Source organism: Homo sapiens, chromosome 7 (genome assembly GCF_000001405.40).
Source record: "Homo sapiens chromosome 7, GRCh38.p14 Primary Assembly".
NCBI lineage: Eukaryota > Metazoa > Chordata > Mammalia > Primates > Hominidae > Homo > Homo sapiens.
In genome coordinates this window covers 32,001,760-32,027,738 of record NC_000007.14, presented here as the reverse complement: position 1 = coordinate 32,027,738, position 25,979 = coordinate 32,001,760, and the positions used below count along the sequence as shown (strand labels likewise).

General features: G+C 38.5%; 1 protein-coding gene across 27 annotated transcripts in view; it reads left to right on the top strand.

Moving 5' to 3' along the window:
* Window positions 1-25,979, top strand: part of PDE1C (phosphodiesterase 1C) — an 811,448-nt gene that overhangs the window by 400,486 nt on the left and 384,983 nt on the right. The window contains exon 1 of one of the 27 annotated variants that reach the window (XM_047420445.1): window positions 133-25,979. This exon is cut by the window's right edge and continues 22,474 nt beyond it. The gene's annotated coding sequence lies outside the window, so the exon portion shown is untranslated. 27 annotated transcript variants of the gene reach the window in all.

The following is a 25,979-nucleotide window of genomic DNA, read 5'->3' as shown; positions in this document are numbered from 1 at the left end:
GTCATTTGTAACGCAGCTCATAACAGTCAGGCTCATCTTGGTAGAGGATCAGAGTGGTGATTTTTGATTGATAAAAATTTCTTCCCATTAGTCTTTTTTTTTTTTTTTTTTTTTTTTTTTTTTTTTTTTTTACCATTTTTGATAGTTTTTTTTTTTTCTGCCTTTGCAAAGAAAATTGAAGCAGTGGCATTCCATTTGTGGTGAATTTGGAATCTTATGTTTTTCCATGTTGGTAAATTTAGCATTCTTCTAGAATGCTATAACTTGGTATCTATTTAAACACACATATAAGCACAAACAAACAGAAACCCACACAATACACCATTAAGTTTGCATGTCAACATATTTTTGATTTGACTTTTGTCAGTCTCTGAAGATTTTTGTTTTAATCAATAGGCTTTATTTTGTAGAGCAGTTTTAGGTTTACAGCAAAAGTGAGAGGAAGGTACAGATATTTTTCCATAATAACCCCCATCCCCACATGTGCAGCTTCCCCCACTGTCAGCATCGCCCACCAGGGTGGAGCATTTGTTACAATCAATGAACCTACATTGACAGATCATTCTCGCCCGAAGTTCAGAGTATGTATTATGATTCACTTTGGGTCATGTACATTCTACAGGTTTGGAAAAATTTATAATGAAATGTATCTATTATCGTTGTGTTATACAAAGCAATTTCACTGCCCTGAAAACTCTCTGTGCTCTGCCTATTCAACTTTTCCTCCTCCAAACCCCTGGCAATTACTAATCCTTTTACTGTCTCCATAGTGTTATACTTTCCAGAATGTCATATAGTTGGAATCATACAGCATATAGCCTTTTCAGATTTGGTTCTTCCACTCAGCAATATGTATTCATGTTTTCTCTATGTCTTTTCATAGCTTGATGTTCTCTTTTTTTTAATTTTTAGTGCTGGATTATTTTCCACTGTCTAGATGTACCACAGTTTGTTTAACCATTCACCTATAAAAGGACATCTTGGTTGCTTCCAAGTTTTGGCAATTATGAATAAAGCTGCCATTTTTTGTGGACCTGAGTTTTCATTTTATCTGAGTAAATTCCAAGGAATATATGATTCCCAGATCTGATGTTAAGAGTGTGTTTAGTTTTGAAGGAATCTGCCAAACTGTCTTTTAAAGTGGCTGTACCATTTTGCATTCCTACCAGCAATGAGGGAGAGTTCCTATTGCTCCACATCCTCTACAGCATTTGGTGTTGCCAGGGTTTTGTATTTTGGCCGTTGTAATAGGTGTGCAATGGTGAAGACTGTCTTAATATGGCCAAATCAGTGGTTCAGTTGGAATTCTCTTGTCTCAGCAGAATGGACCGAGGTATGTTCTTGATGTTCTGAGATCGACAGTGAATGTCTTCTGTGGTTGCTACTGAGGGATAAGAGAAGATGGCAGACCAGAGGATGGATTACCAGCATTTCATCTAAAACTATAAGCTGCAGCCAGCTTTGCCCCATGTGCCTATTGTGTAGGCTGTGGGGCTGGCAACCAAAGAAGTGGGAATGCTGAGTCTAAGCCAGAAAAAATTCAGTTCAGTCCAAACTCTAATTATCTTGGAGGCAGCCTTTGTTCCATTTGGTGGTTGATTCATTCCGAGCATGGTTTCTGAATTTTACTGGGGAGAGTGCACGCGTGTGTGTGTATGTGTGTATGTGTGTGCATGCACACGCTTGTGTGTGAGGTGTGGAAATATTGGTTACCTCAACAGGCAGCTTTTGTTTTCTGATAGCAGCTTGTGTAACCAGCTGTCAGGTAGAGGGGCCTCATTAGCAGAGCAGATTCCTGGGAAGGTCTTACAAGGAACAGACGCTGCCAGCACGTGGTTGGCCTGAAAAGGCACAGCTAGGTAGGTGCTCTGCTCCTCTTCCTTATGATCAAAGAGAGAAGATGCTCCCCTGTGAACAGAGAAGTGGAGCAGGGACACTATCTTCACTGTATGACCTCTGGCTGTATGTACAGATAGAGCACTCCATTCATGACATGGACGCTCAGTAAGTAATTATGGGCATGTCAGTTTGAGCCAGCCAGTAACTGATCTTAACATCCTCTCCCTGCTGTGGCAAAATCCTGACCATGGCAAACCTAGCTCTTCGTCTCATTTATGATGCTGGTAGGACTTGCTTGCTCAGAGCTGCTGCTCTCACTTTTTCTGGCACTGCCCACTCCTCCCAGCCTCCTCAGGTTTTCTGTCCAGTCTTGGAAACGTCAACCAGCCTTGCTGGGATCAGCTTCTCATGTTCCTGAGCAGTGTCCTTCAGCTGTTTAGCAATGTCTTCAAGCCCCAAATACATACATGCTCCTAATTATAGTCTGCATGCCCCACTGGTTTCTGCTAATCCCCCTACCCTCAACTCCCACTCCAGCTCGTCTCTACACCCATCTGGACCCTGGCCTTGGGTTTCAAGCTGTTACTTGTGTCTGACCTCTCTGTTGGACCTCTCGCTTGTACTGCCTTTTTGGAGCCTGCCAAACAAATTAATGTAAATTATATACACAAGGTAAATTTTACTCAGCCATAAAAGCCCAGTTTGAGATGGGGAAGCATCTTCTGAAAAGAGGATAACTCTACATGAGGATGATTCCAAGCTTGTGGCCCAGATTCTGCTCTGTGTGCTTTGACCCTGGGGGTCGGCATGAAGGGATTGTATTCTGGGAAATTTGCCTCTTCTGTCAGTGATTCTGGGACCATTTCCTGCTTTGCTGGTCATTGGCGTGCTTGAGTGTTCCATTTTAAGCCCCCCGAGTAGATACCCTCATTGGGCTGGTACTTGAAGACATCACTTTTCCAGTGTTCTTTTACCATCTGTCCAGGTCATTACAGTTCCCTAAAATGAGGAAAGGTAGTGGGGTTATATTCCCTGAGGGAAGAGGAATCTGCAGTTGCCTTGGGAAGGAGACAGGAATGAGAGAGCTTGGGTGTTAAATTGTTCAAAACATGGTTGTTGATAAAATGCTACAACATTTCAGCCCTGTGGCCAAACTGTATGTGGGATTCTGAGCTTCCGAGAGCTCACAGAACTGTGTGTCAGTGGTTCAGTGATTCAACTTAGGCCTACCTAGGCAGATGGGCCTAGATGAAAAGAGCTCTGATTTTGTGTTTAATCTTTGCTCTCTCTTAGTTGTTGAAGGAGGAGAAAATAATTTCACCAAGATGTGAGGTTATGCAATAAGAAAGAGTAAGAGAGTGAGGAATTAAGAATATAATGATGATTTTATTTTTCTTTTTTCTTTTTTTTTTGCTTATTGGAAGAGAATGAATACTTCTTGAGTCCCAGGCTCTTACTAAAATGAGCTCTCTTATACATACACACACACACACACACACATATGTATATTGAGAAATCTACATATCTGTATATACCTTTAATTTTCACAATTGCCTTATAATGTTGATTTTAATGTCCTTATTGTAAAAAGGTATATTGAAAACTTCAGACATTTTATAAATTTCCCCCCAAATCAGGTTTTCATCAATTTTAGATTGACCAGGGATGGTTATACACCTTCCTCCCTGTTTCCTCCCTTCTTTTCTTTGGACAGTGTTTATTTTGGACCTTACTATCACTCAGCTTTATGTTAGATATTGTTCAACTCAGGAGAGAGAAACCTCATGACACATCCTGATATAAATTGACTACATATATTTTAAAGTTTTTATTTTGAAATAATGATAGATGCATAGAGGCTCACAAAGAAATGTATGGGGAAATGCCATGTATTCACCTTCCAGCTCCCTCAGGGTTCACATCTTACTTGATTATGGTACAATCTCAAAACCAAGGAATTAACATTGATATTATCCATAGAGCTTTTTCAGATTTCCCCAGTTGTGCACACATCATTTGCATTTGTGACAATTTTGTCACATGTGTAGCCCTGTGTAATTACCTCCACAATCAACAGCCTCTCTACTGTGCCATCATGGTAACACTTCTATTTTATGGCCACACCCATCCCCTCTCCTCCATCCCTAAGCCTTGACAACTGTTACTCTGTTCTTTATCTCTATAATTTTGTAATTTCACAGATGTTTTTTAAATGGAATCATATGGCATGTATTCTTTAAAGACTGGCTTTTTTTTTTCTCACGCAGCATAAACTGTAGATACCAGTATTCTGATCCTTTTTAATGCTAAATAGTCATCCACGGTACGGATGTGCCAAAATTTTGTCTTACGATTCATGCCCTGAAGGATGTTTGGGGAGTTTCCAATTTGAGGCTGTTAATAAGGCTGCTATGAACATTTGTGTACAAGTTCCTGTGTTAAAAAGAGATTAAGTTCTCGTGATGTATGTCTTAAAATTCATTTGCGCTTAAGTATGAAAAAAAGTCATCAGATTGTAGAGGGAGTTTGACAGCTATAGAGAGAAAACCCAATTAGAACTTAGTAACAGTGGCTAAGGTTGTTTTTCAGCAAGTATGATCTTTAACCAACATCATGGGTCATAAGAGATTTCAACCATTGCAAGCTGTATGTTAAAGCCTTCACTAATCCCACTGGCTTTTATACTGATTTTGTTCTATCCGTCTTATTCTAGAGTTAACGTTTCTGCCAGGACCAGTTGTGTAGCAGTATGTCCTATTTCTTAGTTCTTTAAAGGCAATAACTCAGCCATAAAAGCCAGCAGGAGAGTACTTCACTGACAAATTGGTTGGCCAGTCTTGTGTATGTGCATTAAATCGTTGGGAGCAAATAGGAAAGAGGAAGAGTGGGAGCAAAGCCTCTTCCGGTTTGCTTTTAAATGTTAAAAAAAAAAAAAAGAAATAGAAGGTAAAGAAAGCAAAATTACACTGGATGGATTATTGTGTTGGTAATAGGAAAGTAACAAACTATTTTATATTGATTTCCCATATCCCTGGGATTAAAATAAAGTGACATGCAAACACTGTGAAATAATTAAAATTCTGTCGTTAATTTTTTTTTTCAAGTAGATCTAATTTGATGGCAGAAGGCTTTCCCAGGAGGTCCTTTTCAGAGATAGAGGTGTAATTTGCAATAGGAATAATTATAGAAACAACATTCATATTCTGCTTTATCTTTAAAGTTCCAGGCCTAAGTTAATTTGTTTGTTTATTCATTTGTTTGTTCATTTATTCATTCATTCAAATGATATTCTGAATAATTATTAATATTTCTGCTTATAAGCCTAGATACTAAAGGGGCCCGATACCACCTTCTGTGCTCCCCTTAAACCACTTCATTCCCCATCACCCCATGATTTTCCACATTCATGACTTCTCCTTGGGACACTTATCCCCTCTGATCACTTGTCTGAAATCTACCTGTTCTTCAAATCCCACCTCAAGTCTTACCTCCTCTGTTGACTTGCTTCTGATTTCTCCTAGCTAGAAATTTCATACCTCTCTTCGGATTTCCTCCAACATTGTGTCTGTGGCCCTTTAATACTTTCTACTTTATATTGTAGTTATTTATGTCCATTTAACATTCTTGCTACTCTGTTGTTAATTTCCTTAGTAGTGGATTCATGTTTGATTCCTTTTAGTGTTTATTTGTTCTCTCCTTCCCTCCCTTCTTTTCTTTTTTCCTTCCTCTCACTTTCTTCCTTTCCTCCCTCTGTTCATTTTTTTCTCTCATTAAATATATGCTGAACACCTACTATATACCAAACACTGTAATAGGGGCTTTGAGTAGAAAGAATTAAGAGCCATTGTAGGTTCCTAAGGCAACCTAATTATGTACTTAAGTTAAACATGAGGAATTAAAAAAAATTCCTGATTGTTAGATTGAGATACTAAGAACATCCTAAGACAGAAGGTATTGGATATTCCTCTTTTAGAGGAATTTTACAAAAATTTTAGAGAAATTTTAAGTGAAAGGCAACTATTTTTTTTCTTGAGAGAGGAGCATGTAAATGTAGAGTTCCTAAATGGCAATAGGACTCACTTCAGTTTCAGATCCAGGATTCTGTGAACCTAAGGAAAATTATTGTGTTCCAAGGAAAATTATTGTCTACCTGTGGATAGACATCAACTAGATGTCAGCTGATGATATAAACTGAAAATGCTAGAGGGAGATGTGACTGGAATTCAAATAATGTATTGAAATAATTTTTATTGGTACACAAAATTCTTCAGCCAAGGAATACAGCTCTGAATTATAAAAAAACTATTTTAAAAGGCAAGTGGAACTACAGAATAAGTATTTCGTTTGTTTTTACTTCCTGTGTGGGTATCTAATTTTGTAAATTGTTCTATGACTGAGGAGTTTGATAAATGATAAACAAGAATGCCATCCTCTAACTCTTCTCTACCTTTCTCTCTTCTCAGAAAGTTATTGTGGAAAGAACATACTCAAAGCTAGGAACATCCACTAAGTGTAATTTGTTTAGAGAGGGGTCAGTGAAGTGGGGTTTGTAGATAAAAGTTTACAAAGCTGTCAGAAGTTCAATGCCCTGGATTTTAGGGAATAAATGTAGAGTCTGCAAGAGTTCATTTCCACACAACAAAATCTTTGGGAAACATCAAGGCATCTGCAACTATGGATGTGGGAAAATCCAGGCAGAAAGGGCTCAGAGATCACAGGAGCTCGGCAGTCTTTAGTGGCCAGCTTCACTGGGGATAGAACCACTATCAGGAGGGGCAAACCAGTTCTATGGATGGCCCCAGTACGGCTGGATCACACTCAAATTAGAAAGGAGACAGACGAGTGACCTGGGGAGCTCTTTCTAAAAGTCACTTATGTAGCTACCTCATATGCTAGCACTGTGGCATTTCTCTCCTGTGTCTTGTTTGTTTCTGTAGCAAAGCATCTGGCAGCAGAGAAATATGGCTGCCCCAACTATGTCACAGGTCAAAAGAGTGTTACCAGACTGAGGGTCTAGAAATTTCTGCAATGCAAAACATGGCTTTGAATTTCATGTTCCTGGCAATCACAATGAAAACAAATACTATATGATCCTCATGTTGTTGGGAAGATTTTGATTTGCTCCCCAGAGTAAAATTTAGATTTGTGTAAAATTTTTTTGACACTGACTGAACTCTTTTGGGCCTTGTTTGAATACAGTTTATCTCATTGTGCAACTTACCAGGATTTGAGGCTCTAGTGTGCTTTTCAGAAAAATGTAACTGCAATTTTACACTAAATGTTTTTACTCCCTAAAAATAAGTATCTGTGTTTTCTTTCTGTTTTGATTGTCAAGTAGCTGTGTTTCTTATGTATGAAATTTGGTTTAAGTGGCCAACTTTGAAAGAACATTATGAAACTTTGGTATTTTTCAGGTCCTTGTGTCGCTTTGTGTGCTTATTATTTCAGAAAAAAATAAATTTAGAATTTATAAAATTAATTTCCCTTAAAAAAATTTTTTTTTCTCACCAAAAAGGAGAAAAAATATGAAGAATTTCTATATGTCTATTTTTGGTCCCTTGACCAACCAGAGTTTTTTAGGGCAGGGGATTTGTTGACTTCTTCATATCCCAGTGCCCAGGAAAGTCCTTGACATATAGCCTTTCCTCAATATTCTTGGAACAAATGCTTATTGAAGGTGCACAAAAGGGTTAGGATGTCCTGAGGCCAAGAATGAAAAACCACTTTCTTCAGTGTTTATCCTGGGGCCCACCAAGCTGACCACTGAAGGTAGAAGAGAGACCACTTGAGAGCCTGAGGGATCCCGGCATGGGCTCTCCATGGCCTGAGTTTCCCATGTTCCATAGGGTCTGCCCTGTTCCTCTTTATTCCCTTCTCTGACACCTCAGCTACCCTCAGAGCTTCATCTCATCTCTGCAGACTCTTAATTCTCAAAGCTACATCCTCCAGCTTGCTCTTTTCCCTGAACTTCAGACCTATATATCCACCCTTAGAAGTTTCATAGACACTTCAATTTAGTAAATCCAAATGGAATGTATTTAAAACTTTTTATTCCAGGTTTGCTGCTCTTGTATGTTCCCTACTTCAGTGAAGGGCACCATCATCCAGTTGCTAATGCCACAAACCCGGGAGTCACCCTTCCCTCCCCTTGTTTCCCTATCCTATATACAGTCAATCACAAAGTTGTGTCCGTTCAACATGTAAAATAGTTCTTGAATCTAGCTGCCTCCCTACACCCACACCATTAATAGCATGGTTCAAACTATCATTTCTTTCCCAGTGGCCTCTTAATTTAGGTATTTGCTTCCATTTGTATTTCCTTCAAGTCATATGTAGCTGTACTGAAGCCAGAATAATCTTTCTAAAACATGAATGTTATCAGGTAATTTTTCAGTTTAATGGTTCTGCATTGTTTTCAAACTAAAGTCTGAGCTCGCTAGCATGGTATGCCTGGCCTTTATAAGGAAACTCACTTGCCTTTCCTCACCACAGTGAACACTGTGTGCACCAACCATATTGTATGTGTTTTAACTTCTCAAACAATATGTGCACCTCCAGTCCCTTGCACATTCCTTCTGCCCAGAACACAATTGATTCCTTCTTTCAGCACATTTTCTCACTAACTCTAATCATGTTTTAGTTCTTTACTTACACATTGCTGCTTCCAGGATGTTTCTCTTACCACGCAGCCTTGTGCTTCCAGGGACCTTGGACTTTGTCATGTTTGCTTTTTTTTTTTTTTTTTTTTTAAAACAACATAATGTGTCTTGTGGTGCCCCTCTACTCAAGGATAAACTTGACTAGGGTTTGATTACCTTTGGGCCCCTTACCTAGCACTATGCCTGGTTTATCATAGGTACTGAATAAGGAGTTAATGTATCAGTCAGGGCATGGGGTGGGGGTGTGAATATAGCAACATGACTGTATCCTCCATGGTACAGTAGGAGATCTTTTCAAGCTGTTGTTCTACTACCACTATAAACTGCTGGCTCTTCAAAGGGCATTCTTAGGAAATAAAGCTCAGAGTTGTCAAGGGATTAGAAAAACATTTTTTAAGCATCTTAATGAGATACAATTCAATACTATAAAAGTCACCCATTTAAAGCATACAGTTCAGTGTTTCATATATTCAGAATTGTGCAACCATTCTCAAAGTTTAAGTTTAAAATATTTTTATCACTCAAAAGAGAAATCCTGTACTTATTAGTACTCATTCCCTATTTTCCCCTCCTACTCTCCCATAACTCTACACAACCACTAATCTACTGTCTGTCTGTGTAGATTCACCTATTCTGGACATTTCATATAAATGGGACAATACAATTTCTGATCTTTTGCGTTTGGCTTCTTTCACTTAGAAAGATTTCAAGATTCATCCATGTTGTAGTACATATCAGTTCTTTACTCCTTTTTACCACCAAATAATATTCCATTCTGTGAGTTTGCCAGACTTTACCCATTTATCAATTGATGGACATTGTGGTTGTTTCCATATTTTGGTTATTATGAATAATGTTGCTGTGAACATTCTTATGTAAGTTTTTGGGTAGACGTATGTTTTTAGTTTTCATTTCTCTTGAGTATATCCTTAAGTGTGAAATTACTGGGTCATGTGGTAACTCTGTTTAACATTTTGAGGTGCTGCCAAGTCATTTTTCAAAGCAGCTGCACCATACATATTACATTCCCATCAATAGTGTATGAGGGTTCCAATTTCTCAGCATAATCACCAACGCTTGTTATTATCTGTTTTTGGATTATTGCCATCCTAGATGATGTGAAGTTGTATCTCATTGTGTTTTTCTTTTTTTTTTAGACAGGGTCTCACTTTGTCACCCAGGGTGGAATCTGGAATGCAGTGGTGGAATCTTGGTTTACTGCAACCTCCACTTCCCGGGCTCAAGCAATCCTCCTACCTCAGCCTCCCAAGTAGCAGGGACCACAGGCATGCACCACCATACCCAGCTAATTTTTCTTATTTTTTGTAGAGACAGGGTTTCACCATGTTGCCCAGGCTGGTTTCAAACTCTTGGACTCAAGCAATCCACCATCCTCAGCCTCCCAAAGTGCTGGGATTACAGGTGTGAGCTACCATGCCTGGTCTCATTGTGGTTTTGATTTGTATTTCCTTCAGGGGTAATGATGTTGAGCATCTTTTCACATGCTTATTAACCATTTGTGTATTTTCCTTGAAGGAATGTCTATTCAGATCCTTTATTCATTTTTTATTTGGGTTGTTTGTCGTTTTAATAATTTTTAGGAGTTCTTTATGTATTCTAGATACTAGTCCCTCATTAAATATAGGGATTGCAAATGTTATCTCCCATTCTGTGTGCTTTTTCTTTTTACTTTCTTGATGGTATCATTTAAAGCACAAAATGTTTTAATTTTGATATAGACCCGTTTATCAAGTTTTTCTTTTGTGGCTTGTGCTTTTGGTGTCATATCTAAGAAACTAATGCCTAATCTAAGGTCATGTAGATTTATTCTTATGCTTTCTTCTAAGAGTTTTATAGTTTTAACTCTTACATTTAGATCTATGATCCATTTTGAGTTTATTTTTGCATATGATGTAAAGTTGTGATCCAGCTTCATTCTTTTGTGTACAGATGTTCGCTTGTCCCAGCCAGTACCATTTCTTGAAAAGACCATTATTTTCTCATTGAATTATCTTGGCACTCTTGTCAATGTCAAGGCATTTTTGTCATAATTATTCTCATAATTATTGTTTGCCATATGAGTAACACAGGTTAACAAATAATGATTAGCTTTATTGAGTCTCAGTTAGGTGTTAGGCACCATTCTAGAAGATCTCCATTTAGCATTCCCAGTAACTATGAAATAAGTACTGCTATTATCCTCATTTTTCTCTTAAGGATGAAGAGGCATGGAAAGATTAACTTGGCAAAGGTCATACAGGTAGTAAATGTTGGACGCAGGCTTCGAACTCAGGCAACCTGACTATAGAATCTCTGTTTTTAGACATCATGCTGTGCCTGACTGTGTCTTGTTTATAGGAGGAGGAAAATTTTAAAACAGCCCAAATTCTGTTATCCAGAGAAGTATTGTCAAAATTTTCATGTATAGCTTTCCAAACTTTGTTCTGTACAAAAAATGTTATAATAATGGGATTAGACTACATATACATTCTTGATTTTATTCACTTTATTGATGTATCATTACTAACTTTCCTTCCTTCTATATCTAAAGCATTATTCTTAATGGCTACATAATATTCTACCTCATGTCTGCACCATTACTGATTTAACCATTCCACTGTTATTGGGCAGTCAGGTTGCTTCTGAGTTTTTCATTTATAAACAATGTTCTGATGTATGTATCTTTGCACATACTTCTATTTATATTCTTTCCATTGTTTTCTTTAAGATAAGAAAAAATTCCTCTAGAAGAAATGTAAAGAGTATGGAAAAACATTTAAAGTTTTTAATGCATTTTGAAAAATTGTTCTCTAGGAAGTTTCTACTTATTTACAATTAATGTTTTATAATTGATAGGTTACTCTGATACTGATTCAGGGTAGGCAAGCTCCCACTGGGGCTTAGCTGGGAAGGTTCTTGGCTTTGCCAAGGAAAAAATTCAAGGGTGAGCCTTTGAATTCTTTCCTTCTCTAATAAAGAAAACAGCTTTATTAAAGCGGCAGTGTTATAGGTCTGGCAGTGTTATAGGTCCAGCAGTGTTATGGCTCCGTGACTTCTCCTGCAGAGCAGGGCTACCCCATAGGGAGTATGCTGAGAAGTAGCAGCTCAGGACAGTTCTGTAGTCATATTTATTCCCACCTTTAACTATATACAAATTAAGGAGCAGTCTGCAGAAATTCCTAGAGAAAGGGTGGTAACTTCTGGGTGTTGCCATAACAATAGTAAACTGACATGGCATACTGATGGGTGTCTTATGGAAAGCCGTTTCCGCCTTGTCCCTATTTTAGCTAGTCCTCAATTTGGTCCAGTGTCTGAGCCCTGCCTCTGGAGTCTAGTCCTGCCTCTTATCACTTTAGTGTGAATCTCATTGATTCTCAGTGAGATTGAACATGTATCAATGATTATTATAATCTTTCTTGTGTGAATTACCTATTCATATTTTTACCCATATTTCCATGAAAAAGCTCCTTGTATACTAAAATATTAACCATGTATCTTTTTTTTGGTGTTTTCCTCTAGTTTGTCATTTTTCTTTAAAATTTTTGGGAATTTTTTGATGTATAGAAGATTTAAATTTCCAAGTGGCAAAATTTATCAGCAAAAAATATACATCTTTTTCTTTATGGCATCTTTGTGTTTGAAAATCAAAGGTCAAAAAATTGTTTCTAGCTCTTGTCTTCCATGAGCTAGACGTTGGTGGTGGGTGGGGTGGGGGGCAGGCAGAAATATGAGGAATCATATAAATTGTCCTTTTTATTTCCGCTGCATGTTTTATCTTAAACATTGATTACTTGTAGTCCCTTAACTGACAGGGAAATAAAGCATCAGCTTAACCATTTGGCGTTAACAATGTCAGTAGTGAGGCCACCTGGGGTGGAGAATTAGTGTCTCCTCCCAGTTGTATGGTTTTCAGCAATATTTTCCTCCCTGTGGTTTTTTTTTTTTAAACTCATTTGAATTTGCTCCTAGCATGAATACATGATATATTAGTCCATTTTCATACTGCTGTAAAGAACTTCCTGAGACTGGGTAATTTATAAAGGGAAGAGGTTTAATTGACTGACAGTTCAGCATGACTGGAGAGGCTTCAGGAAACTTACAATCATGGTGGAAGGTGACAGGGAAGTAAGGCAGGAAGGAGGGCAAGGCAGGAAGGCAGGGCAGCAGGAAGGAGAAGTGCCAAACAAAGTGGGAAGAGCCCTTTGTGAAACCATCAGATCTTGTGAGAACTGAGAACATGAGAACAGCATGGGGGAAACTGCCCCCATGATTCAATTACCTCCACCTGGTCTCTCCCTTGACACGTGAAGATTATGGGGATAATGGGATTATAAATCAAGATGAGATTTGGGTGGGGGCACAAAGCCTAACCATATCACATACAAATGACTTAATGTGTATGAGATCATAGGGACTTTTGTAGCACCATTGGTTAGAAAAATCACACATTATCCAATTAGCGTTAAAAAGACATGGATGAAACTGGAAGCCATCATTCTCAGCCAACTGACACAGGAACAGAAAACCAAACACTGCATGTTCTCACTCATAAGTGGGAGTTGAACAATGAGAACACATGGACACAGGGAGGGGAACAACACATACTGGGGCCTGTCGGAAGGTGGAGGGCAAGGGGAGGGAGAGCCCCTAATGCATGCGGGGCTGAAAACCTAGATGACAGGTTGATAGGTGCGGCAAACCACCATGGCACATGTATACCTGTGTAACAAACCTGCATGTTCTGCACATGTATCCCAGAACTTAAAATAAATAAAAAAAAAGACATATATTTCTTCAAGACACAGTAAATAAAAGTTCTTGAGAGTGTATGCTTCTACACAAACTAGATTTGTGGGCGTTAAAACAATGTTACTTTTTCAGAAACTACTGCTGTGATAGGGTGATCTTTTGAATCACATTGTACCAGAATTTTTTTTTTTGACGTTATAGCTTTTAAATGTTTTCAGACTATCTTCTTACTGACTTGACATTTAATACCTTTGGCATGTGAGTTTTCCTTATTTCGTTTTCCAGAGTCTCAGGAAAATACTTGTGTGTCTTGCCTGTTTACCAATTATTGCAGTGCATTGCACTTTTTTCTGGGTCTGGTCTTTCAGCTACATATTGTGAAGGTGCTATCCCGACCAGTCTCTTTGCATAACCCCACAGGGCCACCCACGTGGTCTATGGGACAGGGATAACTCATTAGGGCTTTCTTTGTCTTCTTTCTTGAGGGTCTAAGCTAAGCAGCACATATGTAAAAGAGCTTTAAGTTGAAATTCTTTTGAGAGGTGTGTGTATTTTTTAAAACTGGAAATGCAGTTTTACCAACTGCAGTTGAGGAAGGCCCACATGTAAAAAGTAAAGTAGAGGTTCCTCTTCAAAGAGACTTTCCTCCCATCTAATTAAGAATAAATAATAACTTCTCTTAGAAGCAAAATGTATTCAAAGACCTGTGCTAACATTCTTAGGTATCTGCTAGCCACAATAAATAAATCAATGTACTTTGTGTCCTTAGCTCCCACAATTTAGCCAAAATATTTGCCCTGGCGTGCTTATACCAGTCCAAGCAAGCATTAGGTCATAGCCTGTTCCTTTCCTTATTTGGAGATGTTTTTACCTTTCTCAGCATTCCACAAGTTACTTCGTCCTTCCTTTATTCTCCTCTGCCTTTGCCTCTTTTAAAAAGTTCTAAGTTGCTAGCCAATCAGGACAAATACAGAATGTGAGGTCCCATTCCAGCCAATGGAAACCAGACACAGCAGTAGGGTGGATGTGTCAAGTTATAAATAACCCTGTCTCCTTTCTTCAGTGTATTCTTGTGGCAAAACTGCTGGCAAGTGTACCTTTCTGCAGAAAGTAAAAATGGCCTTGCTGAGAAAATTTATGTTCAAGTACTATTTCTTTATGGCACCAGGGAACAAGCATTTCAAACACACGTGCATAAGGAGTGTTATTTTGCTGGTACTTCATTATTGTCTAAACTGTTTGTGTTTCTAGTAGGGGAGATCATGACTCATATTTGAAAATTTGATTTTAGATAATTAAAAAACTTACTTTTGAGTTTCTTCCAGTGCACTCTTTACCTTATCAGAGCTCGTGTATATTAACACTATCTGAAACACTGAATGAGAAAGTGGGGAAGACTCAGCTTTTCAGGTTCTAAAAATATGAGTTGTACATCTTGGCTTTCAAATTTGCTTTTACAGGACATTAGAAACTAAGAACAAGGGACTTTATTGTTGTTATGATTAATAGCTACAGTTGATTATCTTTTATTTTCAGGGATTGAATTAGTTATCAGTTGATATCCACAATAATCCTGTGAAATGTATGTTATGAATGATCATTTTACAGCTGGAAAATGAGAGGCTCAAAGATAACTTGCTTAAGATAACAAAGTTAGAGGTAGAGCCAGGACTTGAAATAGTAGGTCATTTGACTGTGGAATGCATATTTTAAAATCAGCTTTATTGATTACATATACAATAAATAGCACATATTTAAAGTGTATAATAAGTTTTGACATATGCATACACCAAAGCAATCACTATATTCAGGATAAAGATCATATCCATCACTTCCAAAATTTTCCTCATGACCCTTTTTAATGCCTCCCTCTCCCCCATATGCCTATCCCCAGGCAACGAATTATCTGCTTTCCAGCACTGTCAATTATTTTGCATTTTCTAGAATTTTACATACACAGATTCTGATATGGGTTTGGATGTTTGTCCCTTCCAAATCTCATGTTGAAATGTAATCCCTAGTGTTGGAGGTGGGGCCTGGTGGGAGGTGGTTGGGTCATGAGGGTGGATCCCTCATGAATGGCCTAGTTCCTACATCCACTTGGTGATGAGTGAGTTCTCACTCAGTGAGTTCACATATGATTGGGTTGTTTAAAACAGTCTGGTATCTCCACCCCTGACTCTGGCTCCCACTCTTGCCACCACGTGATACAATGACTTCTTCCTTCACCTTCTGCCATGATTGTAAACTTCCTCACTAGAGGCCCTCACTAGAGGCCAAGCCAGTGTTGGTGTCATGCTTCCTGTACAGCCTGCAGAACCATGAGCCAGCTAAACCTCTTTTCTTTAGGAATTACCTAGCCTCAGGTATTTCTTTATAGTTATGTGAAATTAACATTCATATAGTGTGCTCTTTTGCAGCTTACTTCTTTCACTTAGTTTGACTACTTTGACAGTCATCCATGTTGTTGCATATATCAATGGTTCATTCCTTATATTGTGGAATACTAGTTCATTATATGGCTTATATATCACAATATTCTAATTTATTCACTGTTGGCTGGCATTTGGGTTGTTTTCAGTTTGGGGCTGTTATGAATATAGTTGCTAAGAACATTCATATGCAAGATTTTGTATGGATATAGGCTTTCTCTTCTCTAGAAGAGATACCTAAAAGTGGAATGGCTACATCATATAGTAGCTGCATGTTTAATGGTTTAAGAAACTGTCAAACTTTTTTCCAAAGTTGTACCATTTTACATTCCCATCAGCAGGATATGAGAGTTCTAGTCGCTCCATATCCTTGTCAACACTTGGCACAATCAGCCTTTTTAATTTTAGCCATTCTAATAGAGAAAAGTTTCTCATTGTGACTTAATAATTGTATTTCTGCAACATCTAATGATGTTGAGGGTATTTCCATGTGCTTACTTATTACCTTTTTATCTTCTTTGGTCAAATATCTGTTTAAATCCTTTGCTCATTTAAAATTTGTTAATTTGGCTGGGTGTGGTGGCTCATGCCTGTAATCCCAGCACTTTGGGAGGCTGAGGTGGGTGGATCACGAGGTCAGGAGATCGAGACCATCCTGGCTAACACGGCAAAACCCTGTCTCTACTAAAAATACAAAAAATTAGCCAGGCATAGTGGTGGGCACCTGTAGTCCCAGCTACTTGGGAGGCTGAGGCAGGAGAATGGCGTGAACCCGGGAGGTGGAACTTGCAGTGAACTGAGATTGCACCACTGCACTCCAGCCTGGGCAACAGAGCGAGACTTCTTCTCAAAAAAAAAAAAAATTGTTAATTTATTTAAAACTGAATTTTAAGTCTTTGTATATTTCAGATACAAGTCCTTTATCAGATTTGTGATTTGAAAATATTTTCTTGTGGTCTGTGGCTTGTTTCTTATTTTCTTAACCCTGTCTTTTGAAGAGTATAACATTCTTAATTTTAATAAAGTCCAGCTTATTAGTTTCTTTTTTTGTATGGATTGTGCTTTTGATGTCTGTTATGGGTTAATTGTGTCCACCTAAAAAAGATGTTGGCATCCTAACCCCTTGTTCTGCAGAATGTAACCTTATTTGAAGATGGAGTCTTTACAGAGGTAACCAAATTAAAATGAAGTCATTATGATGGGCTCTAATCCAATATGACTGGTGTCCTTATAAAAAGGAGGAATTTAGACACAAGTGCAGAGGGAAGACTGATGTGAAGACCCAGGGAAAAGAGAGCCATCTCCAAGCCAAGGAGAGAGGCCTGGAACACGTCCTTCCTTCACTGCCCTCAGAAGGAACTAACCTTGCTGACACCTTGATTTTGGACTTCTAGCCTCCATAATTGTAAGACAATAAATTTCTGATTTTATAGTGACCTGGTTTGTGATACTTTTCTATGGCAGACATTGCACACTAATGTAGTGTCACAGAGATTTTCTCCTACATTTTCTTTTGGAACTTTTATAGTTTTAGGATTTCCATTTAGGTCTATGATTCATTTTGAGTTGATTTTTTTATGTGGTGGCAAGTATGGTTTGAAACTCAATATGGAAATTTACACATGGAAATCCGGTAGTTTCAGCCTCATTTGTTGAAAAGATTATCTTTCTCCATTGAATTGCTATTTTACCTCTGTTAAAAATTAGTTTTCTATTCATGTGTGTATGTTTCAAGACCCTCTATTCTGCTCCATTGACCTATTTGTCTATCTTGATGCTAATACCAATCTGCCTTCTTTACTTTAGCTTTATAATAAGACTTCATATCAGATTGTTTTAGTTCCCCTTTGTTCTTTTTAAAAATTGATTTGGCTATTTTAGGCCTTTGGCATTTCCATATGAATTTTAGAATCAGTTTGTCAGTTGTTATAGCTGGATTGTACTGAATCATAGATAGATTTGAGGAGATAATATCTTAACAATATCACGTCTTCTGACCTATAAACATAGGTGTATCTCAACATTATTTTAGATGTTGTTTAGTTTCAGCGATGTTTTGTAGTTTTCATTATACAGGTCTTGACAATCTCTTGTTAGATTTATTAGCATTTCAGATTTTTTATATGACTATAGATGGTATTTTTAAATTTCAACTTCTGATTGTTCATTTATAGTATCCAGAAATATAGTTGAGTTTTATATAATGATCTCATATCCTAAAGGCTTATTAAACTGATTGATCAGTTCTAATAGCTTTTTGGCAGATTCCATGAGGTTTTCTACATAAAATGTCATGTTGTTTGTAAATAAAGACAGTTTTACTTCTTCTTTTCCAGTCTGCATACGTTTTCTTTCTTTTCATTGCCTTAATGCACTGGATGCAACCTTCATAATAATGTTGAATATTAGCAGTAAGAGGAGACATCCTTGTCTCATTGCTGATCTTATAAGGAAAGCATTCAGTCTTTTACCTTTAAGTATGATGTTGATCAGGTTGGCACCTTTTCTCTGAAAAGTACAAGGTAGTAAATTTTTGGCTTGAGGACCACAGGGTCTCCATTATAACTACTCACTCAGATGTTGTAGTACAAAAGCAGCCATGTCTTTCTCATATGCATGCGTTCATCCTTACTTAGCTGGATACTCAAGTGGGATTCTTTGCAGATCTCTCTATTTAGCTCTCTTTATGTAGCTCTTTTTTTCTCTGGTATGCTGTCCTGTGAATTCTAACTTCCTTGGTCTTCCTGGAACCCCAACTCCATCTCCTGACTCAGAGAGTTCACTGGGCTCCACCTGGGTTACTTGTGTTGGACTGAGCCCTGGAAACCTTCCCAAGGCAGTAAGCTATGGCAACCACAGGGCTCCCTGTCTTTGTTTCGCATATCTCCAATGCAAACCTTCATTGCCTGTTCCTTGTGGCCTGATGTCCAGTGTTTTGAAAGCCATTGTTTTATGTATTTGTATGTTTTTAGATTGTTTCTTATGGGAGGATAAATCTAGTCACTGATTCTTCATTTTGGGCAGAATCTGCCATATTTTCCCCCATAATCTTGCATTATTCTGTATCTTGGTTAAGAGTCTAGTCATCATTATCTAACTTGGAGGAATCTATAGCCTTTTTTTTGTCTTATGATATCAAAATATTTTTGAACCCTTCATTTGGACCTTTAATATCTATTGATTTACACGTAAGGTAAACAAACTTTTGTAACTTAATCAATACATTTCAATATGCTTGTATTTGATAAAACATGGTAGCATCTATTTGATGCTGAAACATGGCAAAGCATATGTTGTTATATAGTCATGTCTTTTTTTTTCAGTTCACTAACAGTGCAGATGTGCGTATGAATTCACAAACTCCTTTGCAATAATCGCTGAGGTTCCCCAGATGTTCTTGCAGCCCAGGCTGGAAATCACTAGCCTATAGGATTTTTATGTGTGACATATTGACTGGAGGTGTCCTTCAGTTCATGGTTAATTTGAACCAGATTTTCATGTGTCTTCAAGTTGGTGACCTATGAAATAGTGTTGTGGTTTAAATCCCTGAACCCAGTAGTAGGGACCAAGGTGGACCTGGCAGGTGCACTTGTACTCGAGTGTAGTTCATCAGAGACTGGACCTCGAGTTCCTTTGTCTACCCAAGGAAGACATGTGTGGAAAGGATCCTTAATGGAACGTGCCTAACCTAGAAACCTTGATGAACAGTGAAGGTCAAGCCTAGAAGTAGCATCAAGTCAACAAATTCAGAGGATGCAAGCTGTGATGAAAATGGGAGGCAGTCAAGAGGCAGAAACTAGGTGGACATGGAATAAAATACCAGTGGTTTGGAAGCTAAGCCAGTGAGGTAGTGGCATGGGGCTTGATGCAAATGCCACTAGATCATCCATAGCTGCTTTTATATCTGGCATGTAGCTCATGGGTAGATTGGGTCTGAATAGCCACAGGGTTATAGAAGACAGCTGTATAGGAGTTTTTGCTGTAAGTATTCATTGAAGGAATGGTGGAAAACAATACCAAAAACCATGCTTGAATTGATATCTGGATATTTTGTTTGTAGATAAACATTTTTACCACTTATCTTAAAAGTTCTCTGAAATGCTTTGTTCTAAAATTCCTATTATATTAGCTTCTACTCCCCATGATAGTCTTTCTAGAGAGAATGTCTCAAAAAATAATAGATCTGACCATTCAGTCAACAAACACTTTTTGAATCCCTGCCCTGTGCCACGTACTGTTTTAGGTATTGAGGGTGCACAAATGAAAAATAAACAAATCAATGATTTATTTGAGTTTCCATGCTGGTAGAATGAGGCATAAGATAAAGAAAATAAAAAGGTAAAATACGTGGAATGACTAGTTGTGCTCAATGCTATGGAGAACAATAAGGCTAATTGGGACTAGTGACAGTGGTAGTGGCATTGGTGGTATTTGTGTGCAAATAAATATAGTGTGGACAGAAAAGGCAAAGACCTGAAGTGGCTGAACATTATATCTATTGTCAGCTATCTTGATGATTTGTCTCATAATAAGCCTCCATGATATTTTAAAAAATAATAATTCAAGCCACCTTTTACACATGTGATTCCTTCTCGTGGCCTCCTTTGCTCATATTCCTGATCCCAGCCACAAGAGCAGGATTGTAAAACTGATCTGATTTACAATATCTTAAAAGTCAGTGGGCTGAAGCTTTGCTAGAAAAAAAGTAGAGCTAGGAGGCCAGTGTGGTAGACGTGCTGAGGTGGCTCTTTGGGGGAAAAGAGTTAGTGCGACATTTTTGAGGGTCCAGCTTATTTTTTAGGACACATGGCCTATGTACAGACAGTGGTACTGAACAGAAAATGGCAAGCAATGGACTCTGACACAGCCAGATAAATTTGTCTTTAAGATCTATTTGGGTCCTAATAGAGTTAGTTAAACTAATTTGATAAAAAATAGGTTGCTGATGGAATTCCAAATTTCATACTCACTTATTTAGTCATGGTGCATGTACTTAAATGTCATAAAAATTAAGATAAATCTTGGAAGACATAGGACTATGATTACACCAAAGAGCATCACAGAAAGTGAATGTAACGGGGGAGGTAGGGAGTCCTCTACCACTGAAGTATTGATATGCCAGATGCTGGGCTTTTGGTACTTTTGTCTTGCTTAAGAGCACTGTAGCTGGAGGGTGGCAGAGCCAAGATTTAGACCTGCCTTGGGTGACTCCATAGATGGAGCACTTTGCATCATGGCACTCTTCTTTTTTACTGTCTTTGGTGGCTTCATGGGCCACAATTTCTCTCTGTTTTTCACCTTTGTTGGCCATAAGTGCAGCTCTTTGCCAGCATCAACCACGTTTCTTCCATACCCAGCTTGCCTGTTTATGGAATTTCATCACGGTTTTGTTTCCTGCTGTGCCTATGAGTAGAAGAAAAACATTCCAACATTGAGCTCTTATCCTTCTAAGGGAAATGGCATCACTGCATCTTGTACTGCTAGTACCAGCTGTAAGTGATGGGCCTGGCAATGGAGCCCTCCTTGGACACAGGGCCTCTGACCCAGTTCTACTGGTGGTGTCTGAAGGATCTGACACCCAAACCATGGCTTATTTCCCCTGTGAACATTCACCACTGTAGAAACATTTCGTTCCTGTAAAAAGACATCTTATATCCTCTACCCCTGTATTGTATAGTGTGGGGGAGGATTTTCTATTTTAAGATAAATAAGACAATTTTTTTTCAAATTGATCAGCCAATGCCAGAGAACATTAATTCTTTTGGAGAGCATTGTTCCTATAAAGTGAAACTACTCCACCAAATTAACATGCCAAAAAAACAAGAGGAGAGCTGTTTCAGGCAAAGAAGTAGAAATCAATTACCTGAAAAAATTTCAACGGTATTTATTTTAGGTGATTTTATTTCCAGATTAAACAAATAAAACTCCTGTGTCTTTTCTTACCTGTTTGACTTTTCAGTCAGAACTAATGGAACCAAGAAAGGAACAATAGACTTATTATTGATCTGCAAAAAGAAAAGGCCCCTAAAGAAAGGCAATAATGACATTTTAAAGAAGTGACTCTTGAAAAAAATATTTTTCATGAATACTTTAAGATATCTTTTATAGTACTGGAAAAATTTGATTTAAGTCTGGCTTGAACATGTAAGTGTGTCTGTAAGTAACAGTACGTGCAGAAAAAAAAGGTAGCAAATGCAGATTCTGAATCTGTACAAAACCTGTTTAAAATGCGCACATCCAAAAATGCCAAATTAGCAGTAGACCAGAAACAACCCCCAGGACTGTGGATGTATGCTTAGTGTTGAAGTGTCTATTCTAGTTCTACTCTTCAAACACACCAGCCATTTGGGTGTGGTTCCTTCTAGTGTGATTGGAGGAACCCCTTCTTTTATACTAATATACACTCATACACCCCTTCTTTTACACAGTTAAAATTCTGGATCTGGTGAGGTTTGTGTGATTTCTCAGATCACAATTCTTTTTTTTTTTTTTTTTTTTTTTTTTGAAATGGAGTCTCGCTCTGTCGCCCAGGCTGGAGTGCAGTGGTGCGATCTCGGCTCACTGCAAGCTCCGCCTCCTGGGTTCACACCATTCTCCTGCCTCAGCCTCCTGAGTAGCTGGGACTACAGGCACCCACCACAACACCCAGCTAATTTTTTGTATTTTTAGTAGAGACAGGATTTCACCGTGTTAGCCAGGATGGTCTCGATCTCCTGACATCATGATCTGCCTGCCTCGGCCTCCCAAAATGCTGGGATTACTGGCATGAACCACCGCACCCGGCCAGAATCTCAATATTTTTATCCAGTTGTGAATGTGAAATGAGATGATGTGAGTGGGCACTTGATAAAAAGGGGCCATTCATGGAGTAATGATGAGAGTTCATGGCCAGGGGTTTTGATCAATTCAGTCTAATTCTACGGACCTGAAGTTCAATGTTTTAAAGGTGCTCTATAACCAATAAAGTGCTATGGATCAGTAAAACATTGGTGACGGTGCTAGGTTGTAGGATATGCACTTTGAGTCCAAGGAGGCAATGTTTTATCCATTTCATCCTCCATAGGAGCTAGCACCAATATGAACACATAATATGTATCAAATAAATTACCTCATGGAAATCAGAAGAGACCTCAGTTTTCTCTAACAATCTAGATTTCTTCACAAGTGGCTCTTCAAATATGTTAAAAAGTGTATTCTGTTCTCAATAATTTAGTATTAAGGAAAATGTACCTAATATGTGTACTTGAACTATTTCTGTGGTATGTGATAGAAAATCCATCTTAAATTATTATAAGAAATAAAAGCACAATTTATTAACAAAGGAATTGGAGAATCTGAGAGCATATTGGATTTAGGTTTGGGTTGATCTGGGAGCTCAGATGAAGGCATAGAGACCAGGTGTCTTACTCCATCTTCCTACATCCCTGCTCTAAAGAGGCTCTGCTCTCTGCCAGGCTTATCTGTTGCAGCTAGGCCTCACAAGACCCCAGGTTCAAATCCAGCAGGAAAAAAAGTCTCTAGTAACTCTTGCACAACCCCCAGGACTCACTTGGACTAGCGGAGCTTGGGACAGATGCTTATCCCTTAACAGTTCCTGAAGAGTATTCTACTGCCAGAGGAAAGGAGGAGTGGACGCCAGGTGGCCTGTATGCAGTAAGAGTCCACTCCATCTATGGACCCCTTGGTTACCTTTTCCAGGCCTTTGTAGCTCACTCCTCCTCAGGTAAAATTTAGAGAAGTGATATTATTTTTAATAAGATCACGAGAGGTCCAAATAGTCTAATTTGTTATATTGGTTTTTTTTTCAGGTTTTTTGGGGGCCATTTTGTGTTCATAGGCAGTAAAACAACAGAGGTTTTCCCCAGGTATCTAAACTGCACCCAAAAGTCTGACAAGATCTTTCTAGTGATCTTGGGATGCAGGGATTTGGGTGCCAGGAACTGAGTTCGAGTCCTCATTACCTGTCTTGGCTGTGGCTTTGTGGCAAACTGATCAATATGGCTTCCACAGAGCTCCACATGAACACGTACAGAGCAGCCACGTTACATTCCATACAGTGGGAAGTCTTCACAGATGCCCCTTTCTCATCATTCACATTTCACCTTGTTAGAAAGGTCTTCCTCACTCTTCTTAATAAAACATTGTTATCTGAAATTAGTTGTTTATTTGTTTTTTGTCTACTCTCACTAACTCCATATGAGTATTAAACCCCATAAGAGTAAAAATGTTTTTCTATCTTCTTTCCTTCAGTAGCCACAGCATCTGAAACAGTGTGTGACATATGGTAGGCACTCATTACACAGTTCCTAGAACATGAATGAATGGCTTCTAAAACCATTTTTCTACAGTCTCTGTAGAGGCAGTAGGTACAAACTGTGTTTTGTAAATGAGGTTGGATTGAATGACTACCATAGCTGAATCCAGTCATAGCTATGTTGTTATAATGGATGGGCCATGCAATGTAATGAAGTAATTAACTCCCTAAGTTTGTACTTTATCCAAAAGACATATTACTGGCTTTAGGTGAGGAATGAGTCTGGCTTCCATGATGGATGGAACTTATATTTAAAGACAATAAGCATTGTACTATACAGTGTTTTATCTTGAACCACACAGTTGCATCTGAGGACAAATGTGATTGCACTATACAGAAACAGAATAAGGTTTGTGATTAATGCACTCTTGGAGCTCACAATCTCACCATCTATTCGCAGAGATATTGAAGTAGTAGTTACTTCACTCACAGAATTCTATCATAGTTCCTGGAAATGAGCTAGAGTTTCCCTTGTCAATTCCTTTATGGGTGCTCCATTGCCCTAATCTGTGAGAAAAAGAACTGATTCCAGCAAGTGAACTCATTAAAGGGAGTCTACATTTCCTTATTCCAGAGAGAAGCTGTTGATTGGATCTCTGAGTAGCTCTGTCGTAGGCTGGGCTCCTTGATGAATTGAATTCATTTACTCAAATGTGCAGGCTTAAACTTTGCAGAAATGAAATTGAATGACCATCAAGAGAAGCTATAGTGCTGATGGTTTAGTATATTAGTAGACCTCAGAGCATAAGTTAGCTTTATTTATAGATACTACTTTTGTGGTGAACTATCTAAAAGGATATCAAGAAAAAGAAACTGAATTTCAATTTTCAGAATATTGCTTGTAGTTATCACTCTGTTAGTCCAAATGATTTAAACTTTTTCATTCCATGTTGACATTTTAAACAAACACATATGAGCACTTTCCAGGTACTAAGAACCTGTTTTGGTTTCAGGAAATACCCAGTTCAAAGGAAGAGGGACAGATCTGTACACCAGTGATTTTAATATATATTATAAATAGTATGATAGAAATCTGTGCAAAATTTCATAAGAGGTGGCACATAATTCTTATTGGGATGGGGGTGGTGTGTGTGTGTTGTGTTTATTCTCTGGCTATGGTTTTTGTTTAATAATACTGGAAACAAAAACCACACAACTAACATTTGTTAAGTGCTTTTTATGTCAGGCGCTGTTCTAATTACTTTTTCACCTATACTCTCATTTAATCCCCGAAGTGGACTCTGTGGATCACAGGTACCTGGATCACCCCATTTTCACAGATGAGGAAACTGAGGCTCAAAGAGGATCAATAACTTGCCCAAGGTCATGTGGAGGAGACTACCTTCAACTAGGTGATATCTTGTCAGCCATCAGCCCGCCAGCTCCATGGTGCCTCCTGCTTTGGCTGGGTAGCAGGACTCTCCTGCGTGTGCTCCCTGTAGATATTTATGAATGTGTTTCTTTTTTTTACTCGCTTCATGTTTGTAATCCATGAACATGTGTGTGTGCCTCTAGGGTGACTTCATTAGTGTCAGGGGAGAAACTTACATACATATGTGTACAATGAAATAGTGTTGTTGACCTGTTTTAGAAAGCTCACATCTTAGTAGTTCCCACTGCAGTTTTTACTGGGGTCTCTCTTAGTCTTCAGCACTAAGTCAGATCTATTGCGGTTTTTTGTTGTTTTGAGACAGAGTCTTGCTCTGTCACCCAGGCTGGAGTGTAGTGGCACGATCTCAGCTCACTGCAACCTCCACCTCCTGGGTTCAAGTGATTCTCCTGCCTCAGCTTCCTGAGTAGCTGGGATTACAGGAACCTGCCACAACGCTCAGCTAATTTTTGTATTTTAGTAGAGGTGGGGTTTTGCTGTGTTGGCCAGACTGGTCTCAAACTCCTGACCTCAAGCAATCCACCTGCCTTGGCCTCCCAAAGTGCTGGGATTACAGGTGTGCCCAGCCAGACCTATTGTGTTTTAATGCTTGCTGA